Here is a 22,819-nt window from a genome sequence, read left to right on the forward strand (position 1 = left end):
TACATCTGCAAAGACCCTATTTCCAAATAAGTTCCTGTTCACAGGTTCTGGGGATTAGGACATGGACATATCTTTTGGAGATCAGCATTCAACCCCTTGCAATTGTGTTTGATGCTTTCTTTCTTTTTCTTTTTTTTTTTTTTTTTTTTGAGACAGAATCATGCTCTGTCTCCCAGGCTGGAGTGCATTGGCAATATCTCAGCTCACTGCAACCTCAGCCTCCCGGGTTCAAGCCATTCTCCAGCCTCAGCCTCCCGAGGAGCTGGGATGACAGGCTCCCGCCACCACGCCTGGCTAATTTTTGTATTTTTAGTAGAGATGAGGTTTCACCATGTTGGCCAGGCTGGTCTCGAACTCCTGGCCTCAAGCAATCCACCCGCCTTGGCCTCCCAAAGGTGTCTGATACTTTCTGAAGACTCTAGGGGGCATCCTTCCTGCCTCTTCCAGCTCCTGGTATCCCTAAGTTGATGGCCGCATCACTCCAGTCTCTGTCTCCACATGGCCTTATCTGTGTCTCCCTTTTTTTTTTTTTTTTGAGATGGAGTTTCACTCTTGTTGCCCAGGCCGGAGCGCAATACCACGATCTCGGCTCACCACAACCTCCGCCTCCTGGGTTCAAGCGATTCTCCTGTCTCAGCCTCCTGATTAGCTAAAATTGCTCTTAATATTTTAAAGGATACTGCAGAATACAGAGGCATTTGAAGGAATAAAGAGAATGGCTGAAAACAGCTGAAATTCAGCTTCTTTTTACTATTATTCCATTTTTATTTAGAGAAAAGGGTCTTGCTCTGTCGCCCAAGCTAAAGTACAGGGTCGCGATCATGGCTCACCACAGCCTTGACCTCCAGGCTCAAACGATCCTCCTGCCTCAGCCTCCTGAGTAGCTGAGACTCCAGGCACGCACACCACGCCTGACTAATTTTTTTATTTAGTTGTAGAGACAAGGTCTTGCCATGTTGCCCAGGCTGGTCTTGAAGTCCTGGGCTCAAGCGATCCTCCTGCCTCTGCCTCCCGAGTAGCTGGGACCACAGTGCACCCCACCAAGCCAGACTGATTTGTTAATATTTTGTAGAGACGGAGTCTCTCTACGCCACCCTGACTGCTGTCGAACTCCTGGCCTCAAGCAATCTTCTTGCCTCAGCCTCCCAAAGTGCTGGAATTCCAAGCGTGAGCCACCGGGCCCGACCCTGGCATTCACCCCTCTTGAGACACGGTGGGAAAGAAACTGTGAATAGTTATTTTCACACGTGCCGCCTGTGCTCTGGTGGGAGAAGAGCAATGAGAACACTCGCCTTGTTTCTCTACCTCGGTTCTCATTCACAGACAAAAAAAAAAACAACAGTAACACAGCCAGGCAGGGTAGAGATAACTCCCTCCACTGACAGAGACATTTTTTTTTTCCCATTTTAACAACACTCATTAATTCTTATCTGTTAAATAGCGCGTAGAATTTGTGCCTCTAAACCCACTCGATAATCTTTTGGGTAATTAACTTGTAAAACAACCCCAGTCCTCGTTACGGGCGGGATGGAAAAATGTGAAGTAGCGCATTTGCAAAGCAGACCATACACAATTACTTATTAAACATGCCCCAGGTGTGCCGGCAAGTCGGCGGCAAGTGGAAGCCCTCAGCCTTGTCGTCTAATGGAAGAAGATTAAAAAGTGCCAATATCCTCAGAGCGCGCACACACACACACACACACACACATAGATACATATGCCAACAGGCTGATCTCACACACATAGATACATATGCCAACAGGCTGATCTCACACACATAGATACATATGCCAACAGGCTGATATATTCAGGGTCTGGAGAAGGATTACACAAAGAGATGAGTTGCGGAAGGGGGCTCGCTTGCAGACCCTTGTAGGTGAACAGGGGCAGGGATTAAGGAGCTCATGGTGCTGCAGAAGTATCTCTGAATGGATCAGGGCAACCGTGCATTCAATAGCAAAATATGTCAGTATGACTCATCTCAGAAACAGCCTTGCTTCCAACTGCAGGCGGTGATTTGGCCAGAGGTGGGCTCCAAGACTTGGGAAACACTCGTCAGAGCACCTCTAACCTCTACCTAACTCTAGCCCTAACCCTAAATATTAGGGAAATATGAGACTATGAGTTTTCAAAAAATAGCTGGGTATGGTGGCTCACTGTGCCTGTCATCCCAGCACTTTGGGAGGCTCAGGTAGGAGGATCGCCTGAGGCTGGGAGTTGGAGACCAAAACCCAAAGAGGCTGTGAACCACAACACACCGTCATTTCTGGAAACGCACCGACTATCTGGGAGGCCCATGTGTGGATGTGCTTATTCTTAAGTATTTAAAGGCCCATGGAAAGGCGCTTTTGCTCTTTAGTGAAAATATATACTGGGCTCTATCGAGCCACGAAAAGACGCAAAGAAACGTTAAATGCATATTCCTTTTTTTTTTTTTTTTTGAGATGGACTCTCGCTGTGTCACCTAGGCTGAAGTGCAGTGGTGCGATCTCGGCTCACTGAAAACTCCGCCTCCCAGGTTCAAGCAATTCTCCTGCATCAGCCTCCTGAGTAGCTGGGATTACAGGCATGCGCCACCATGCCTGGCTAATTTTTGTATTTCTATTTATTTGTTTATTTATTTGGAGACGGTGTCTCGCTCTGTCGCCCAGGCTGGAGTGCAGTGGCGCGATCTCGGCTCACTGCAAGCTCCCCCTCCCGGGTTCACGCCATTCTCCCACCTCAGCCTCCCGAGTAGCTGGGACTACAGGCACCCGCCACCAAGCCCAGCTAATTTTTTTTGTACTTTTAGTAGAGACGGGGTTTCACTGTGTTAGCCAGGATGGTCTCGATCTCCTGATCTCGTGATCTGCCCGCCTCGGCCATAGAGATTTGGAAGGTTATTACCACCCTGAGATATGAAGAGCCCTGAAGAGAAGGAACACAATGAGACCTGCGAGGACCAATTAAACTTTCAGAGAGTGTGGGACATCTATGCCCACGCATGAGAACACATACGGTGACCTCAAGGAAAAATTACCAACAGGAACGCATGAGTCTATCTGTTTATCTACGCATATGCCTGTCTACAGCCTGACTCGGGACACTTCTCGAAAACATGAAAGAAACAAAAGGACTCACTATGAAAAGGAAAACAGTCAATAAGGGCCATTTTATGTTTAAAAAAAAAAAAAACACAGGCCAGGCGTGATAGCTCACGCCTGTAATCCCAGCACTTCGGGAGGCCAAGGCAGGCAGATCACAAAGTCAGGAGATCAAGACCATCCTGGCTAACACGGTGAATCCCTGTCTCTACTAAAAATACAAAAAATTAGCTGGGTGTGATGGTGCACGCCTGTAATCCCAGCATCTTGGGAGGCTGAGGCAGGAGAATGGCTTGAACCAGGGAGTCAGAGGTTGCAGTGAGCCAAGATCGCACCACTGCACTCCAGCCTGGGCAACAGAGCAAGACTCCGTCTCAAAACAAACAAACAAAAAGCAAAAAAAAAAAAAAAAACAAAAAAACACAGGGGCTGAGCTTGGTGTCTTACACCTGTAATCCCAGCACTTTGGAAGGTGGGAGGATCGCCTGAGGCCAGGAGTTTGAGACCAGCCTGGGCGACATAATGAGACCCCGTCTCTAGAAAAAATTTAAAAAACAAAATTAGCCATGTGTAGTGGTGCATGCTACTAGTCCCAGCTACTCGGGAGGCTGGGGTAGGAAGTTTCCTACTGAGGAGTTTGAGGCTGCAGTGAGCTATGATCACACCACTGCACTCCAACCTGGGTGACAGAGCAAGACCTTGTCTCCAAAACAACAAAACAAAAAACAAAGGTAATTGTGAATATATGCTGAACCAGAATACACATCCACAATCTGGTTAAAACTTCTCGGGAATAAACATAATTAATCGTTGGCGAACACATTCACATAAAGTGCTGTGATTCCAACTTCAGCACAGACATGATCTCTCAAGGATTCTATGCCCTAAAATCATGTCACAAGAATTCTGTACATTAAAAATGGATACCCAGGGGTGTGGGGAGAATTCCATGCCATCAACACTCACATCATCCTTTTTCCAAGTTTCGCAACCTCCTTAACAATCCTTCTACCCAATCCGAAAGTCTACAGGTTGAAGAAAAATTCTAGGTGTCTTCTTGCCCCAAGATATGTCTGCCTCCTGACTTGGAGTTCTCGCTCTGTTTGATGATGAAGACCAGTAGACACCTACACAGAGACTCTTGCATGTCATCATGAATAACATATGTCCCAGTCATGTGTCACAGGTGAGCCTGTAAAACAGGCACTGAGGTAGATTGTCTCGGGAGCCACTGTGTTTCAGGCACTGAATCAGAGACTCAGAAGATACCTGTGCACAGAATCCATCTCTGCCCTCACAAAGCTCTGATTTTAGCAGGGACAGGCGATGAGGAGGGTGAGTATTCCCAAAACAACAACCCTCATCTCTTGCACGTGGAACGGGTCACAAAGAGCTCTCTTACTGACAACAAGCATTCATCCTACACTTCACTGACTCTTGTATTTTCAATCTACTCAATTACGTTGATGACCTGTTATCAACCTTCATCCTGATTTCACAGTATTCTGTTTTCATGATAAATTCAAGTATTTTATAGGTCATTGGATAGGCCAAAATGATGGTTCACAAAGATCTATTTTCAAAGTAGAAGTGCCTCCCAAGGCGGCGTGCAAAATTTACCTTCTTGACACCCATCAATTACAGAAGGCATTGACCAGTGATTTCTTTTATTGAAAACAAACTTGGTCTAATAACTGGGTGGAAGCACATGAACCAAACAGCTAGTCCCTCTTCTGATGAAGACGGCACAAGCTACTGGAAGAATAATATTTGGGAAGCTTTTTTTTTTTTTTTTTTTTAGATGAAGTTTTTCTCTGTCGCCCAGGCCGGAGTGCAGTGGCATGATCTCGGCTCACCGCAAACCTCCGCCTCCCGGGTCCAAGCCATTCTCCTGCCTCAGCCTCCTGAGTAGCTGGAATTACAGGCACCCGCCACCATACCTGACTAACATTTATATTTTTAGTAGAGATGGGGTTTCACCGTGTTGGCCAGGCTGGTTTCAAACTCCTGACCTCAAGCTATCTGCCCGCCTAGGCCTCCCAAAGAGCTGGGATGACAGGCGTGAGCCATCGTGCCTAGCCAGGAAGCTAAATGAATCAGAAGATGCTGTTTGTGATTAAAGTTACACAATCATTATAGAAAATGAGGACACCGTGCACCTTCCAAAGAGGATACACAGCACGTGTCTAGTCTGATCTCTCTTAGGATTTAGGATTACAGGGGTTCCACCATGGCATGTACGAGCTGCAAAAGAGAATGGGCCTGCCTTCAGTGCTTTTAAGAGTGTTTAACTGGTTATCTCTCCCCATCTGAGTTCATTTGAACACGGCTATGCCTTTCTGTGTTTGCTTTCATGGAGCCGCTGGGGTTTGATTTATTTATATTTGGAGGAGTTTCGGTAAGTGAATGAGACTATTTGTTCTAAGTAAGACAGCTTTCATCAGCACATAATTACCCAGGAGCCACAAAGGTGTGGGCACAATGGCTAAGTGATGATAAGGAGTGAAAACGCTTCCCTGGAAAATCCCTAGCTTGGGAAATGAGCCATCTCGCCCAGATTCCTGAAAACAATCGCGCATTTATAATTCCGAGAGCTCAATTAGCCGTCCTTCTGTGGGCACGTAGCTTCCCATGCCCTGCCCAGCGTGGGATCTCAGAGGAGCACGACTTCAAAGACAGAAAGTACAACAAAGTACGCAGGCCAGAGTATTAACCCAAGAACTAAGGAGAGAGAATTGAGAGCAGGAAAGGCAGGAGGGGAAAGCAGGCTAGACAGGCGCCCAGCATGTTGAAATAATTGTGTGACTGACACTCCACAGCAATCTGTGCTCCTGGAGTCAGGACGTGAGCCGACTTGCTTAAAAATAAATCCACATGGCTGAACCGGGGTTACCCGATGCCGGGATCCCAGCAGAGCAAGAACGAAACAGCACATTCAGCTCCCTCTGTCCCTCGCTGGGCAACTGGAGGTTGTGGGGACAAGAATCAGAGTTCCAGCAGGTGCAGGCCAGTCCAGAGAGAAGCACAATTTAGAGCAAGGTTCGTACGGGTTTGGTGGAGGTGTGCCCAGGTCTCAGCTGAGGAGGGAAGGGATGCCTGTAGGAGCTGTGGTCGTCCATAAGATGTTGTGGGCAGCAGATACCACTCACAGGCAGAGGGCAGACCCTGCCGTGTGGCTGGACCACGGATCTGGGGGCTCCTGAGCCTGGAGGCAGACTCAGTCGAGGTAAAGGCTCAATGGCCACAGCCGAAATGTCCCCACCCAGCTGGGCCTCAGCATCATCTATCAAGGACTGGAGAGTCCCCCAGCAGTGGACATACCAGGGCCACCACTGATGAATGTCCAAACCTGTTCAGATTTTAAACTTTTTTCTTTTAAAAAAAAAAATTGCATGCACACATAGTAGGTGTATATATTTATGGGATAATGAGGTATTTTGATACAGGCATGCAATGTGTAATACTCACATCAGGGCAAATAGGGTATCCATCCCCTCGAGCATTCATCACTTGTTTGTGTCACTAACATTCCAATTACACCTTTAATTGGTTTCTTTTTTTTTTTTTTTTTTTTTGAGATGGAGTCTCTGTAGTCCAGGTTGGAGTGCGGTGGCACAATCTCAGCTCACAGCAACCTCCGCCTCCCAGATTCAAGCAATTCTCCTGCTTCAGCCTCCCAAGTAGCTGGGACTACAGGTGTGCACCACCACGCCCGGCTAATTTTTGTGTTTTTAGTAGAGACGGGGTTTCACCATGTTGGCCAGGCTGGTCTCGAACTCCTGACCTCAAGTCATCCACCTGCCTCGGCTTTCCAAAGTGCTGGGATTCAGGGGTGAGCCACCATGTCCAGCAACTTTTAGTTATTTTTAAATGGACCATGAAGGATTGTTGACTGTAGTCACCCTTTTGTGCTATCAAATACGAGACCTTACTCATTCTATCTAAAGTATATTTTTGTGCCCATTAACCATCTCCACGGCACACCCCATCTTCCCACCCTCTTACAAGATGGTAAAGCTTTTAAACAGCCACAGAAAGTGCAAACGATTCTTTTCTTCTTTTCTGTAAGATTGGCTTAAAGGCCATCGGTATTTATATGCCACAAGTAAACTAACATTTTTTAATGGTGGGGACAAATCATGTATTCGTCATGCTACTTGTCCACAAAACACTGCACTTTAAAAACTGATGATCGAATATCCTACACAAACTTTTCCAAGAAAACAGCAATGATTTGTTATTGTGGTCAGATGCAGTGGCTCACGCCTGTAATCCCAGCAATTTGGGAGGCTGAGGTGGGTGGATATCTGAGGTCAAGAGTTTGAGACAAGCCTGGCTAACACGGTGAAACCCCATCTCTACTAAAAATACAAAAAATTAGCCGGGCCTGGTGGTGGGTGTCTGTGATCCCAGTTACTCGGGAGGCTGAGGCAGGAGAATCGCTTGAACCCGGGAGGCGGAGGTTGCAGTGAGCCGAGATCACACCACTGCATTCTAACGTGGGCAACAAGAGTGAAACTCTGTCTCAAAAAAAAAAAAAAAAAATTATTGGTCAAAATTCATGTTGTCTAAATCTGAAACATTTTCAGAATCTAATAAAATTAAGTTGGTGATTATAAATCATTGTTTCTTGGCTGTCATTTTGGTTAGGTGGATCACATATGTGAATTTTGGGGAACTATATATAGTTTTTAAGCCGTTCAGATTAAAAGCAAAAAGTCATGAGAAAAGAATGCCTCACTTGTCAGTTTCCAGAAACTTCTCTTTGGGCTCCAGATTGATGGTTGAATGCCTTCAGGACAGCAGCAAGTGTACCATTTGAAGGTGCGTGGGGATCATTTAACGGCCTCATAAGAATGCAGATTCCAGGGCCCCGCCCCCACCCCCAGAGGCCCCGATTCACAGATGGGCCCTGGGCACCTGCATTTCTTGTTTACTCCCCGGAAATGCTGATGTGACAGGCCCGGAGAAGGCACTTTTGGATTCATTGTGTTAGAAAATGCCACTCCTTTGAAAACCTGCTGCAAATGAGGAAGGGCCAAGGTGGCAGGGAATAGGACCCCCTGTCACAGATGAAACAGGAATTTTAAAAAATTTAAAAATGTATAAGCAAAAACTCAGTTGTATGTAAGAAAACCCAGTTCTCCCTGAGGAAGAGAAAGAGTTGAAGTCCATTAAAAATTAACTGCCTGTTTTTCTGCGGCTAATAAGCCTTGTCTCTTCCTTTCCCAAGCATTATAAAAACTCTGCTTCTCTAGCTATACAGCTACAAAGTCACTAGGCAAATAATCTCAAATCATAAAACATATTATTCCTTAAAAAATAAAAAATAATATAATGCATGTGTCAATTAAACAACTGTCTTTGTTTCTCACTTCTATGATATACTTCCCCCTACACAGAGCTCCCCCCGCCCCAGAAAATACTTAAAAAATAACCAAACTCTTTGTTCAAAACTCGGTCCTTTAAATGTTAATCCGACGGGGTCGGTACAAATAAATAATTAAATAATTCCTCCTCAACCCCTCGGTGTCTCTAATTCCTTAATTATCCCTCTACACAGAAACCAATCCTTTTGCCCCAAGGCAGATCCTAATGAGGAGAAAAGATCTGGCCAGGCTGCTGCCACTCTGTGACATTGTACACTGGGCTTGGCTCTGGCTGAGCGGGAGCCCCTGTGGGAGTGTGTTCCTGAAAATCACAGGGATCCTGCAATGCCGGCTATGAAATTTCAACATACCCCAGCCCTTGGCAGAGGTAATAACAAGGTGTTTCACAGCAGCTTAGGGTAGAAAGGAGGAGATAGGGGCATAGGCAGTGACCAGGCTCAGCTCTGTGTAGCGTTCATTTCACTCTCATGGCTTTAAAAAGAATCAAGGCCGGGCGCGGTGGCTCACACCGGTCATCTCAGCACTTTGGGAGGCTGAGGCGGGTGGATCATGAGGTCAGGAGTTCAAGACCAGCCTGGCCAAGATGGTGAAACCCCGTCTCTACTAAAAATACAAAAATTAGCCGGGCTTGGTGGGTGGGCGCCTGTAATCCCAGCTACTCGGGAGGCTGAGGCAGGAGAATCGCTTGAACCCGGGCCACAGAGGTTGCAGTGAGCCGAGATCACATTGCTGCACTCCAGCCTGGGTGATAGAGTGAGACTCTGTCTCAAAATATTAATAATAATCGTCATCATCATCAAAATAGGCCAGGCACAGTGGCTCACACCTATAATCCCAGCACTTTGGGAGGCCGAGGTGAATGGACCGCTTGAACCCAGTAGTTCAAGATGAACCTGGGCAACAAGGCAAAACCCCAACTCTACAAAGAGTAGCTGGGTGTGGTGCTGCACACCTGTATTCCCAGCTACTGGGGAGGCTGAGGCAGGAGAAACACTTGGGCCTGGGAGGCGGAGGTTGCAGTGAGCCGAGATAACACCACTGTACTCCAGCCTGGGCAACAGAGTGAGACCCTGTATCAAAAAACAAACAAACAAATAAAGAATCAAAATACACCCATCCCCCACTTGGGGGAATTCTCAAAACACCATCTCAAATTCAAACAGCCAAGGAAGGGATGTGCATTTAAAAAAAAAAAAAAAATAAGGTACCACACATAAACATGGCCGAGAAAAGCACTTAGCATTTGGATGGCCAACAGGTATATGAAAAGGTGCTTATAGGAAAAGGTAGTCGGCCGGGTGCAGTGGCTCACGCCTGTAATCCCAACACTTTGGGAGGCTGAGGCGAACGGATCACGAGGTCAGGAGTTCGAGACCAGCCTGGCCAACATGGCGAAACCCCGTCTCTATTAAAAATACAAAAATTAGCTGGGCATGGTCGCCAATGCCTGTAATCTCAGCTACTCAGGAGGCTGAGGCAGAAGAATCGCTTGAACCTGGGAGCCGGAGGTTGCAGTGAGCCGAGATCGCACCACTGCATTCCAGCCTAGGTGACAGAGTGAGACTCCGTCTCAAAAAGAAACAAAAAAATAAACAAAGAAAAGGTACTCAACATCACTAATCATCAGGGAAATGCAAATGAAAACCACCATGAGCTACTATCTCACACCAGCTAAAATGGATATTGTCAGAAGGGTGTTTTTGTTTGTGTTTTTTTGTTTTTTGTTTTTTTTTTTCTTTGAGACAGAGTCTTGCTCTGTCACCCAGGCTGGAGTGCAAAGGTGTGATCTCAGCTCACTGCAACCTCCAACTCCCAGGTTCAAGCAATTCTCCTGCCTCAGCCTCCTGAGTAGCTGGGGTTACAGGCCCCTGCCACCACGCTCGGCTAATTTTTGTATTTTTAGTAGACTCGAGGTTTCACCATGTTAGCCAGGCTGGTCTCGAACTCCTGACCTCAGGTGATCCACCCGCCTCGGCCTCCCAAAGTGCTGGGATTACAGGTGCCAGCCACCACGCTGGCCAGAATGATGATTTCTACAGTTAATTACAAGTGTTGGGGAGGGTGTAGAGAAAAGGGGGCCCTTGTACACCACTGGTGGGAATGTCAATTAGTACAGTCACTATGAAAAACAGTACAGAAGTTCCTCAAATCATTAAAAATAAAAGCACCACATAATTCAGCAATTCCACTGCTAGGCACAGACTCAAAGCAAATGAAATCAGTGTATCAAAGAGATGCCTGCATTCCTATGTGCATTGCAGCACTATTCACAGGAGCCAAGATATGGAAACAACCTAGGTGTCCAACAACACACGAAAGCATAAAGAAAATATATATCTATACCTGATGGAATACTATGCAGCCATGAAAAAGGAGGAAATCCTATCTCCTGCAGCAACACAGATGGAACTGGAGGCCATTACCCTAAGGGACATAACTCAGAAACCGAAAGTCAAATACCATTCTTCTTAGGTCGAGTCCAATTTGCTGGGTCCGACTCGCAGACTTTGGCTGAGCGACGGATGAACAAATGCACTCAGACACAGATTTCCAGTGAAAGCGTGGGCTAGGGGATGGGGCCACTCACAGACACTGAGGAGGGTGTTTTAAAGAGTCAGCAGCCACGGCTTTGACAAGCTGCTGCTGTGGGCCTTTATTTAGTATACATTTAATGACAAAGGCCTTGAGTCAACACATTCGTGGGCAATTCATATGGTCGTCCCCCGCAACCCGGAGAGAGGGAGAGAGTAGTTCTGTGCGTGGATGATTAAAGGCCAGGTTCTGAGGCCTAAGCAAACTAACTTATCTAGATCAGTTTCTTTACATCCCCTCGTTATCTAACCTAAGCTTTCAGGCACTGGATAAGAGAATCTGGCTGCCTTCAGCCAAATCTTATTCGGGAGCATTTGCAAAACCTTCTGGCCTCCCAAGAAGGTTTGCATCTTCTACAATTTTTCCTACCACCCTGACCGACCTCCTACATTCTTACTTATAAGCAGGAGCTAAATAATGTGTCCACATGGAAAGAGTGGAATAACAGAGACTGGAGACTCAGAAGGGTGGGAGGTGGAAGAGGAGCAAGGGATGAGAAATTACCTCTCGGGTACAATGTACGTGATTCAGGTGTTAGCTATACTAAAAGCCCAGACCTCACCACTACGCCATTCATCCATGTTAACAAAACTGTACTTGCACTCCCTACCTGTATACAAATGAAAAATAAAATAATAAATAAATAAAAGGACAGAGCATTGAGAATCTAGATGGATATTAGAAAGTTGTGTGCACACCTTCCTTAGTGTGAACAGACAGAAAGAGCACACCAGAATTTGGTCTAGCACCTGGTCGAAAATCTTAAGGGCAAGCATATTCCTGTTTGATTTATCTTTTTTTCTTTCTTTCTTTTTTTTTTTTGAGACGGAGTCTTGCTCTCTCTCCCAGGCAGTCCCAGATTCAAGCGATTCTCCTGCCTCAGCCTCCTGGGTCATTGGGATTACAGGCACATGCCACCATGCCTGGCTAATTTTTGTATTTTTAGTAGAGATTGGGTTTCACCATGTTGGCCAGGCTGGTCTCCAACTCCTGACCTCGTGATCCACCCGCCTCAGCCTCCCAAAGTGCTGGGATTACAGGCGCGAGCCACTGCGCCCGGCCTGATTTATCTTAAGTCAAGAACTCCCAACCAGCAGAGGCACCTCCTGGCATGTGCCCTGGAGGTCAACAGGAAAGGACAATGGCTCCTGTTCCCTGGGGAACACACATTTGAGTAAGAGTGCAAGCTACCAGCACATCTGCATGCCTTTCCTAGCAGATGTCAGAGCTGAGTGATGCTATCTTCGCCTTGCCTTGACCATCTCCTGCTCTAGGATGGGGCCAGAAATCCCCAAAAGAAGAGTGCAAAAATCAGAGCCATCTCTCCCAAATGCCACCTGGCACGTGACTGAAGCTCAGCCATGAACCACGCAAACGACCTGTCCCAAGGAAAAAAAAAAACAAAAAAAAGCCATTGGAGTATCTCTCGGTACCTTTGTCGTTCAAGGTTTCTTCTTTTATTTTGCTTACAACTTGTTTGGCTTTGCTGTCATTATTTCCAGCTAAAAGGAAAAAGAAAAAAAAGATACGGTGACTTGTAGGATTATCCAGAAACTATTAACTGCAAAAAAAAAAAGAGGTTTTAAGAGAAGTATAACACAAATCTGAAATGTGCCTTTGATGGACTTTCCCTTTATCCTAGCGTCTAACTTGACAGCCATTTTGGCAGACTAAAGCTATCCATTTAAGAGTCATTTTCTTTAGCCTGCATTGGCAAAAAGTACAAATGCATTTGACATTCTACTTTTCAATAGTGACAGGGACCCGGGGCACCTGCTGGTGTAATTTGCACGTGAGAGCTGAGAATAGCATAAGCATAAAAAATGTGCATTAAAATGTCAGGATGGAAACGAATTTTCGAAGGAGCTTTTATGCTGGAAACATCCCAGTGTGCACACACAGACTGCACGATGCACGTGATCACAGACCGTGGTTCCTACTACGTGCTCAGGATTTCTTTCTGTTTCTTTTTTTTAATTCTACTTTAAGTTCTGGGGCACATGTGCGGAATGTGCAGGTTGGTTACATAGGTATACACGTGCCATGGCAGTTTGCTGCACCCATCAACCCATCATCTACATTAGGTATTTCTCCTAATGCTCTCCCTGCCCTGCCCCCTCAACCCCTCGACAGGCCCTGGTGTGGGATGTTCCCCTCCCTGTGTCCATGCGTTCTCATTGTTCAACTCCCACTTATGAAGGAGAACATGGGGTCTTTGGTTTTCTGTTCCTGCGTTAGTTGGCTGTGTGCTCAGGATTTCTTACTCCTCTCACTGCACTTCCGTAAAACTCTCCAAGTGAGGTTTCAGGAACACGCCTTTAGAAGGATGGAAAGAGGTGTTTTGCTTGTTATAGCTAAAATAAAGACTAGGAAATCCGGGGTGAAAGAATGTTAATTGGGTTTTTTTGTTTTGTTTTTTTGTTTTGTTTTTTTTTTGAGACAGAATCTTGCTCTGTTGCCCAGGCTGGAGTGCAGTGGTGCGATCTCAGCTCACTGCAACCTCCACCTCTCTGATTCAAGTGATTCTGCTGCCTCAGCCTCCTGAGTAGCTGGGATTAGAGGTGACTGCCACTATGCCCAGCTAATTTTTTCGTATCTTTAGTAGAGAGGGGGTTTCACCATGTTGGCAAGGCTGGTCTTGAACTCCTGATCTCAGGTGATCCTCCCGCCTCGGCCTCCACAGTGCTGGGATGACAGGTATGAGCCACCACACCCGGCCTGGTTTCTTTAATGTCTTAGGAAGTGAACATGCGTTGAACAGGAGACTATAGTTTGATGTTGTCTTCGTCATTTTTTCAAATGTCTTTGACCCGGGAGGTTGGATTTTAAGGTGTTTCTGAAGGGGCGGCTCTTTAGGGGAAAGGAGTTTGGCAAATTTTTCCTCCTTCAGCCTCATCCTTCATTAACCTGTTGGCAACATGTGGGATTAGCTGCTTTCCAGGGTGAGCCAAGCCCAAAACTCCCTTTCAGGGAGGGTCACGGAAAAAGTGTTGAGAGAAGGGAGATGAGAACTAGCAGGGGAAGCGCACAGGCTTGAACAAGAACGTCTTGGGTGCCCGGAGAGCTTCAAACAGCTGATCTGCAAGGAGCAGTTACCAAGGGGGTGGGGCCGGTCTATCTCCATCCTACCTGCACCCAGCCCGGGCCAGTGAGGTGTTCTGTAGTACAGCACCGTCCCCGGGTCTCCATGAAAATACATTACCAAATAATCCCTCTCTTTGGCATTCCTGAATACTGAGTCAACACGGCGTATTGAATTTACACACTCTAACACAAGGAAGAGACCATGCTGTTTGATATCCTATCATTGTATTCGGTATTCTTTCTTCTGTGTTAAGGCCATGGGCTCCCAAATTAACTATTAGAATGCACTTTTCAAAAAACAATGAAAATGTTTTCAGCAAAGAGTGAAAAAATATATAAAAGAGGAGAAGCAGTGAAACTTATGAAGTTGGAAATGTTTTTGGCTCCAGTGGGAGACGGCTAAGATAAATAGTGCAAAGTCCATCCTTTGGGGCAGAGTAAATGGAATATCTAAATTGTCACTTCCTTGAAGGAATTCAAAGTTGCAGACATCAGAAGACTGAAGCTGCAAAGGTAATTTGCACCTTTGACTTCCTTAAAGAAACAGAACATGATACCATTATTACATTTTTGCTTTGACAGTCCTTTGGCACTGAGGAGGCAGCAGGCATTTCAGGGAGGTGGGTTTCGACGGGAGGGAGAGGAAGAAATAGCCTGAAAGGTATATTCCATCTATAAATGTCCTATGCATCAAACACAAAACAAAAAAAGAAAGGATAAAAAAATTCAAAGTCAAGGTAACCTTTACACTGGGGACTTGTACATTCATGAGCTTATTTATGAAATCCCATGAACTTTTTAAATGTAAGCACTCATCCACTGCTGGGCTGCTCTGCCGTATCAGCCATCTCAAGATCAAAGGGTGCGGCCGGGTGCGGTGGCTCATGCCTGTAATCTCAGCCCTTTGGGATTTGGGAAGCCGAGGCAAGCGGATCACGAGGTCAGGAGTTCAAGACCAGCCTGGCCAACATGAGGAAACCCCATCTCTACTAAAAACACAAAAATTAGATGGGCATGGTGATGTGTGCCTGTAATCCCAGCTACTAGGGAAGCGGAGGCAGGAGAATTGCTTGAACCAGGACCCGGGAAGCAGAGGTTGCCATGAACTGAGATCACACCACTGCACTCCAGCCTGGGCGACAGAGCCCAACTCTGTCCCAAAAAAAAAAAAAAAAAAAAAAGTTAGCCAGACATGGTAGCAGGCACCTGTAATCCCAGCTACTCTGGAGGCTAAGGCAGAAGAATTGCTTGAACCCAGTAGGCAGAGGTTGCAGTGAGATGAGATTGCGCCACTGCACTCCAGCCTGGGCAACACAGCGAGACTCCATCTCAAAAAGAAAACAAAACAAAACAAAACAAAAAAAAACAAAGGGAAACATGCCGGAAGCTGGGACGAAGTAAGATGGGAGCCTCCACCTTCTCAAGAAAGACAAAAGTGACCAGAAAAAGCTGGGAGCATCAAAAAAAGCCAGGTGAAGTGATTATTTGGGAAGACCACCTTCATGGGCAGGCCATTTTCCATGGTGGCACCGTCAACGCTGGCATAGGACAGAAGCACCACACTGGAGGAATGGAGAAGGTGAGGTGGCACGTGCGGTATCTTCTTTGGCCAATGTCACCTTCAGCAATTGTCTCCTCAGACCTGGAGGGAGCTGCTTTAAGGAACTGGACGTGGGACATTTGGCCTCATATGCATTTGCTGGAGTGGTTCCTACATTTGCTGAGCAAGTACTGCATATGCAGAAACACCGCACACGTCCCAAACACAGTGCATCTGCCTTCTGCTTCATCCTTTGTATTTGGGGGGGCAGGGGAGGGCGTTACATGTTATATGTGCAATGGAAATTGGTATAGCCATTATGGAAAACAGTGGAGATGGGGTTTCACTATGTTGGCCAGGCTGGTCTTGAACGCCTGACCTCGGGTGACCCGTTTGCCTTTGCCTCCCAAAGTGCTGGGATGACAGACATGAGCCACTGCACCCGGCCTGGTTTTTTTCACATCTTAGGAAGTGAACGTGCTTGGACAGGAGACTATAGTTTGATGTTGTCGTCATTTTTTTCAAATGTCTTTGACCAGAAAGGTTGGATTTTAAGGTGTGTCTAAAGGGGTGGCCTTTTTTTTTTTAAGAGTTCCTCAAAAAATGATCATTATGCCTACCATAGGATCTAGCAATCTCACTCCTCTGTATAGATCCAAAGGAAATGAAATCAGCCCCTTATAGAGATATCTACACCCCCATGTTCGTTGCAGCATGATTCACAAGAGCCAAGATATGAAACCAACCTAAGTGTCCATCTAAGGATGGGTAGATAAATAAAATGTGGGATAGCTACACCATGGAATACCATTCAGTCTTTGAAAACCAGAGGACCCTATCCTGTGATACAACATGGATCAACCAGGAGTACATCATGTTAAGTAAAATAAGCCACATAAAACCAAATCCCACATGATCTCACCCATATGTAGAGTCTCCAGAAGTTGAACTCACAAGAAAAAGTATTATGATGATTATTGGCCAGGCGTGGTATCTCATGCCTGTAATCCCAGCACTTTGGGAGGCCAAGGCAGGTGGATCACAAGGTCAAGAGATCGAGACCATCCTGGCCAACCTGGCAAAAGCCTGTCTCTACTAAAAATACAAAAATTAGCCGGGTACGGTGGCATGCACCTGTAGTCCCAGCTACTCAGGAGGCTGAGGCAGGAGAATCGCTTGAACCCAGGAGGTGGAGGTTGCAGTGAGCCGAGATTGCGCCACTGCACTCCAGCCTGGTGACAGAGTGAGACTCCATCTCAAAAAAAAGAAAGAAAGAAAAGAAAAAGAATTATGGTGATTACCAGGTGCTAGGGGGGTGGGTTGCTGAGATTTTGTTCAAATGACACCAAATGTCAGTTTGACAGAAGGTATAAGTTCAAGAGATCTATTGTACTTAAGGTGACTAAATTAGTGACTATAATCTTGAACCTGACTATAATTAGTCACAGTGACTATAATTAATATTTGAAAATTGCAAAGAGAGTAGATTTTAAGTGTTTCCAAAAACACACACAAAAAGAAACATGTAAGGTAATGGATATGTGAATTAGCTTGAATTGGCCATTCCAGATGGAAACATATATCAAAACCACATTTTGTACACCATAAAAATATGTAACTTGTTTTTGTCTATTAAAATAAGTAAATAGATAATTAAATACAAGTTTAAATATTTTACACGTTTCACATGTACTATTCATGGACAATACAAAGTATATGTGGCACAAGTCATTTTTAAAAGACAGTTGCAATTTAGATAACCTAACCAACTAGACTTCCTGTGACCTACAAAACTAGATTTTATGATGACCAACGCAACTACACCTCATCATACTCTAACCCAACTAAATCTCATTAGGACTAACCAAAATACACCTCATCATAACTTAACCCAAATAGATCTGATTATACCCTAACCCAACTAGACCTCATCATGACCTAACCCAACTAAATCTCATTATAACCTAGCCCAAATAAACCTCAACATGACCTAATACAAACAGGTATCTTTATGACCAACCCAAATACACCTCATCATAACTTAACTGAATCTCATCACAACCAACGACACTAGACCTCATAACCTAACCAAACTAGACCTCATCATGACCTAATACAACTAGATCACATCATGACCAACTCAACTAGACCTCATCATGACCTGACACAGCTAAATCTCATTATAAACAAGCCCAACAAGAACTAATCATGACTGACTATGACTAGATTTCATCATGACCAACCCAACTACCTCATCGTGACCTAACTAACTCTCATCATGACCAACCCAACTATACCTCATCATAACTTAACCCAACTTAACTACATCATAACCTAACTCAACAAGACTTCATTATGACCTAATACAACTACATCTCATCAAGGCCAACAAAACTAGTCCTCATCATGACCTAACAAAATCTCATCATGACCAACCCAAATAGACCTCATCACAACCTTATCCAAGTAAATCTCCTCATACCCTAACCCAACTAGAACTCATCATGACCTAACCAAACTAGACTTCATCATAACCTAACCAAACTAGACCTCATCACGACCTAATACAACTATATCTCATCAAGACCAACCCAACTAGACCTTATCATGACCTAATTATATCTCATCATGACCATCCAACTAGATCTCCTCATGACATAATCCAACAAGATTTCATCATAACCAAACCAACTAGACCTCATCATAACCTAACCCAACTAGGTCTCATCATGACCTAATACAACTAGATCCCATCATGAGCAACACAACTAGACTGCATCATAAACAAATTACATCTCATTATGACAACGAACTAGATCTTATCATAACCTAACACACCTGGGTCTCATCATGACCCAATACAAGTAGATCTCATCATGAACAACCTACCAGAGCTCATCATAGCCTAGGCCAACTAGATTTCATTATGACCTAATACAACTAATTCTCATAATGACCAATCCCACTAGACCTCATCATGACCTAACCAAACTGGACTTCATCATAACCTAACCCAACTAGACCTCATCATGACATGAGACAACTAGATCTCATCACGACCTACCCAACTAGAACTCATCACGACCTAACTAGATCACATCGTGACCAACCAAACAGATCCCATTATAACTTAATCCAACTAGATCTCATCATAACCTAATACAACTAGATCTCATCATGACCAATGCACTAGACCTCATCATATCCTACCACAACTAGATCTCATCATGACCTAATCCAACTAGATCTCATCATAACCTAATACAACTAGATCTCATCATGACCAATGCACTAGACCTCATCATATCCTACCACAACTAGATCTCATCATGACCTAATACAACTAGATTTCATTATGACCACCGCATCTGGACCTCATCATAACCTAACTGGATCTCAACATGACCAACCAACTAGATCTCATCATAACCTAACCCAACTATAACTCATCATGATCTAGTACAACTAGCTCTCATCATGACAAACTCAATGAGACCTCATCATAACTTACCCCAACTACATCACATCATGACCTAATACAACTAGATCTCATCATGACCAACCAACTAGATATCATCGTAATATAATTCAATTAGATCTCATCATGACCTAATACAACTAGATCTCATAAAGACCAGCCCAACTAGACCTCATCATAACCTAACTCAATTAAATCTCCTCATACCCTAACCCAACTAGACCTCATCATGACCTAACCCAACTAAACCTCATCATAATCTAACCCAACTAGACCTCATCATGACTGAATATGACTAGATCTCATCACAACCAACCCAAATAGACCTCATCATAACCTAATTAGATCTCATCATGACCAACCAACTAGATCGCATCATAACCTAACCCAACCAGATCTCATCATGACCAACCCAACTAGACCTCATAATAACTTCACCCAATTAGATCACATCATAACCTAATACAACTAGATCTCCTCATGACCAATCTAACTAGACCTCATCAGAACCTAACTAGATCTCATCATGACCTAATACAACTAGTTCTCATCATGACCAACCCAACTAGACCTCATCATAACCTAACCCAACTAGATCTCATCAAGACCTAATACAATTAGTTCTCCTCATGACCAACCCAACCGGACCTCCTCATAACCTAACTAGATCTCGTCATGACCAACCAACCAGATCTCATCACAACCTGACCCAACTAGATCTCGTCATGACCTAATACAACTTGATCTCATCCTGACCAACACAACTAGTCCTCATTATAGCCTAACTAAGTCTCATCATGACCAATCAACTAGACCTCATCAGAACCTTACCCAACTGGATCTCATCAGGATCTAATACAACTAGATCTCATCATGACCAACCCAAGTAGACTTCATCATAACCCAACTAAACTTCATTATAACCCAACTAGACCTCATCATTATCTACCCTTCCTGAGGACTGTACAAGAGATTTCTTATATTGGAAAAAAGCAGTATAATTTCCTCTTACTAAATAAAAAGATTTTGAGCCCAAACCAGAGTCACCAATCTGCGGCTAAACCTGGCCTGCAGCTGGATATTGTACAAAAAGTTTTACAGCAACATAGACTTTCCTGTTGTTTTAAGTATTACCTATGGGTGGTTACTCACTACTAGGGCAGAGCTCATAGTTATGAGAGAAACATATGAACACATTTATTATCTGTCTCTTTACAGAAAAAGTTTACCCACCCCACTTTCATCTTAGATGACAGTCCATTGAGCATTATGAAAAAAAATGATCCCCCACCAAAATAATATTTTGAAACAATGAGAACTAAGATCTTGTGGACAGATGGGAATTTGAACAACTGATATATGTGTCTAGTAATATTAATGTGCTTCAGTTGGACCCAGGTTATAATCTGAATTATTTTACAAGTAATTGATTATTCTTTAAATATTAATAAATTTTTAATTAAAATTTTGAAGTTAAATTTCCCATCTCTTATTTTGTATTTAATATAAAATTCATTGTGTTCAATGATATTTTTTCATTAATTGACTTTGAATCAAACTGCCATACAAAATGAAAAAATGCCTCTCTCAGAATATATCCAATTATCCTCAAAGTCACACAGGGGAAATAAGACTGCATAATTGATTGGATTGACCTGAAGGGTCAAAACTGTAACTCACAGTGAAAATTAAACACTGACATCAGGAGCTCTGTGGGATAGGAGACACAGGTGGGGTGCAGATGTGGTGTTTACTTTCTGTTTATCTCAAGAAAAAAGGCACATTGGTGCTGACATATACTGCTCCTGATGCTCAGTAAACATCATCTAAATGAAGTGGTAACACTTGAGATTCCCATGCACATGAACAAGAAGCTTGCTCACATGTCTTCATTGCTTTGTGCCTACAAAGTCCTCAGTCAACTAGACCTCACTGTGACCTAACCAAACCACACATCATCATGATCTAACTCAACCTGTCATCATGATCTAATCCAAGAGGACTTTATTGTGTTCTATTCAACTACCTCATGATGACATAACCCAGCTGGACCTTATCATGACCTAATCCAACTAGACCTTATCATGACCTAACCCAACTAGACCTCATCATGATCTATCCACTAGGCCTCATCATGACCTTCCTAACTAGATCTCCTCATGATCTAACCCAATTAGACGTCATCATGACCTACCCAACTAGACGTCAATGTGACCTGACCCAACTAGAACTCATTGAGTCTTAACCCAACTAGACTTCATCATGACCTAGCCAAACCACACATCACCATGATCTGATCCAGCTAGATCTCATCATGCTATTACTGAAGTAGACTTCATTAAGACCTAATTAAATCACACCTCATAATGATCTAACTCAACCAGTCATCCTAATCTAATCCAACAAGATTTCATCACATTCTACTCAACTACCTCATCATGACATAGCCAAACTAAACATTATGATGAACTAATACAACTAGACTTCATCATGACCTAACCAAACTGTACCTTACCATGATCTAATACAACCAAACCTCATCATGACTTAATACAAATAGACCTCATCATGGCCTACCCAACTAGACCTCAATGTGACCTAACTCAACTACATTTCATCAGGACCTAACTCAACAAGACCTCATCATGACCTACCCAATTAGATCTCAAAGTGACCTAGCCCAACAAGATTTCATCATCACCTAAATAAGTCACACATCATCAAGTCTAATCCAACTAGATCTCATCATGCTGTTACTGAACTAGACTTCATTAAGACCTAATCAAACCATACCTCATAATGACCTAACTCAACCAGTCATCATGATCTAATCGAACAAGACTTCATTACATTCTACTCAACTACTTCATCATGACATAACCAAAGGAGACGTTATCATGATCTAATACAACTAGACTTCATCATGACCAAACCAAACTGTACCTCAGCATGATCTAACTCAACCAGACATCATCAGAACCTAATACAACTAGACTTCATCATGACCTGCCCAACTAGACCTCATCATGACCTAAACCACCACAATGAGGCAAAAAAGCACAAAGAAATGGGGTGTTTTCTTCCTTTCCTAGTTTGATTAAGAATTAAACTAATAATTAAACATTGCCTAGCTAAATTAAGAATTAAGAAGATGAAAAAGATCATTGCACTGGAGGAGACAAAAGATCAAATATAACCAGTAATGGATGTGAGCCCTCCCATCTTTGTTCAACCTTGAGGGTCTCTCTTCATCCTACTCCACCATCATTGAAGCCACTAGGCTCACATCCAGCCAACCTTCAGAGAATACCTATTGCTCTCCCTGTTCAAAAAATCAGCATCATTTTGACCCAGTCATCTCAAATATTGGCAGAAGTCTGAGATATAGAAAGTCCTGGAAAGTTTGTCATGTTGTTAATGATACAGCAGATATCCACCTAGCATGGATGGTCAAAACCAAGGGTTGCCATCCATCACCACCTCACAGTCTCCAAGCTAAATCTCAGAACCCCCCCTGCCCTACATCTTGTCTCTAATTTACTCAGGTCCCAGGGAGATGTAAACAGATCATGGAGGTGCTCAAGTTCATAAGAAGTTCTAGAAATACACTCTCAGATGGGCACCCTCTCCCCTGGGGTCTCCTCATCTAAAC

The 22,819-nt window shown here is 44.1% G+C and overlaps 1 protein-coding gene across 1 annotated transcript in view; it reads right to left on the reverse strand.

The window, feature by feature from the left end:
• DHRSX (dehydrogenase/reductase X-linked) overlaps window positions 1-22,819 on the reverse strand; it is a 281,471-nt gene that overhangs the window by 176,741 nt on the left and 81,911 nt on the right. The window contains exon 3 of the mRNA NM_145177.3: window positions 12,499-12,567. Coding sequence (NP_660160.2) covers window positions 12,499-12,567 — 69 coding nt within the window. The remainder of the gene's footprint in view (window positions 1-12,498; window positions 12,568-22,819) is intronic.

The sequence above is a fragment of the Homo sapiens genome, chromosome X (genome assembly GCF_000001405.40).
Source record: "Homo sapiens chromosome X, GRCh38.p14 Primary Assembly".
Lineage (NCBI taxonomy): Eukaryota > Metazoa > Chordata > Mammalia > Primates > Hominidae > Homo > Homo sapiens.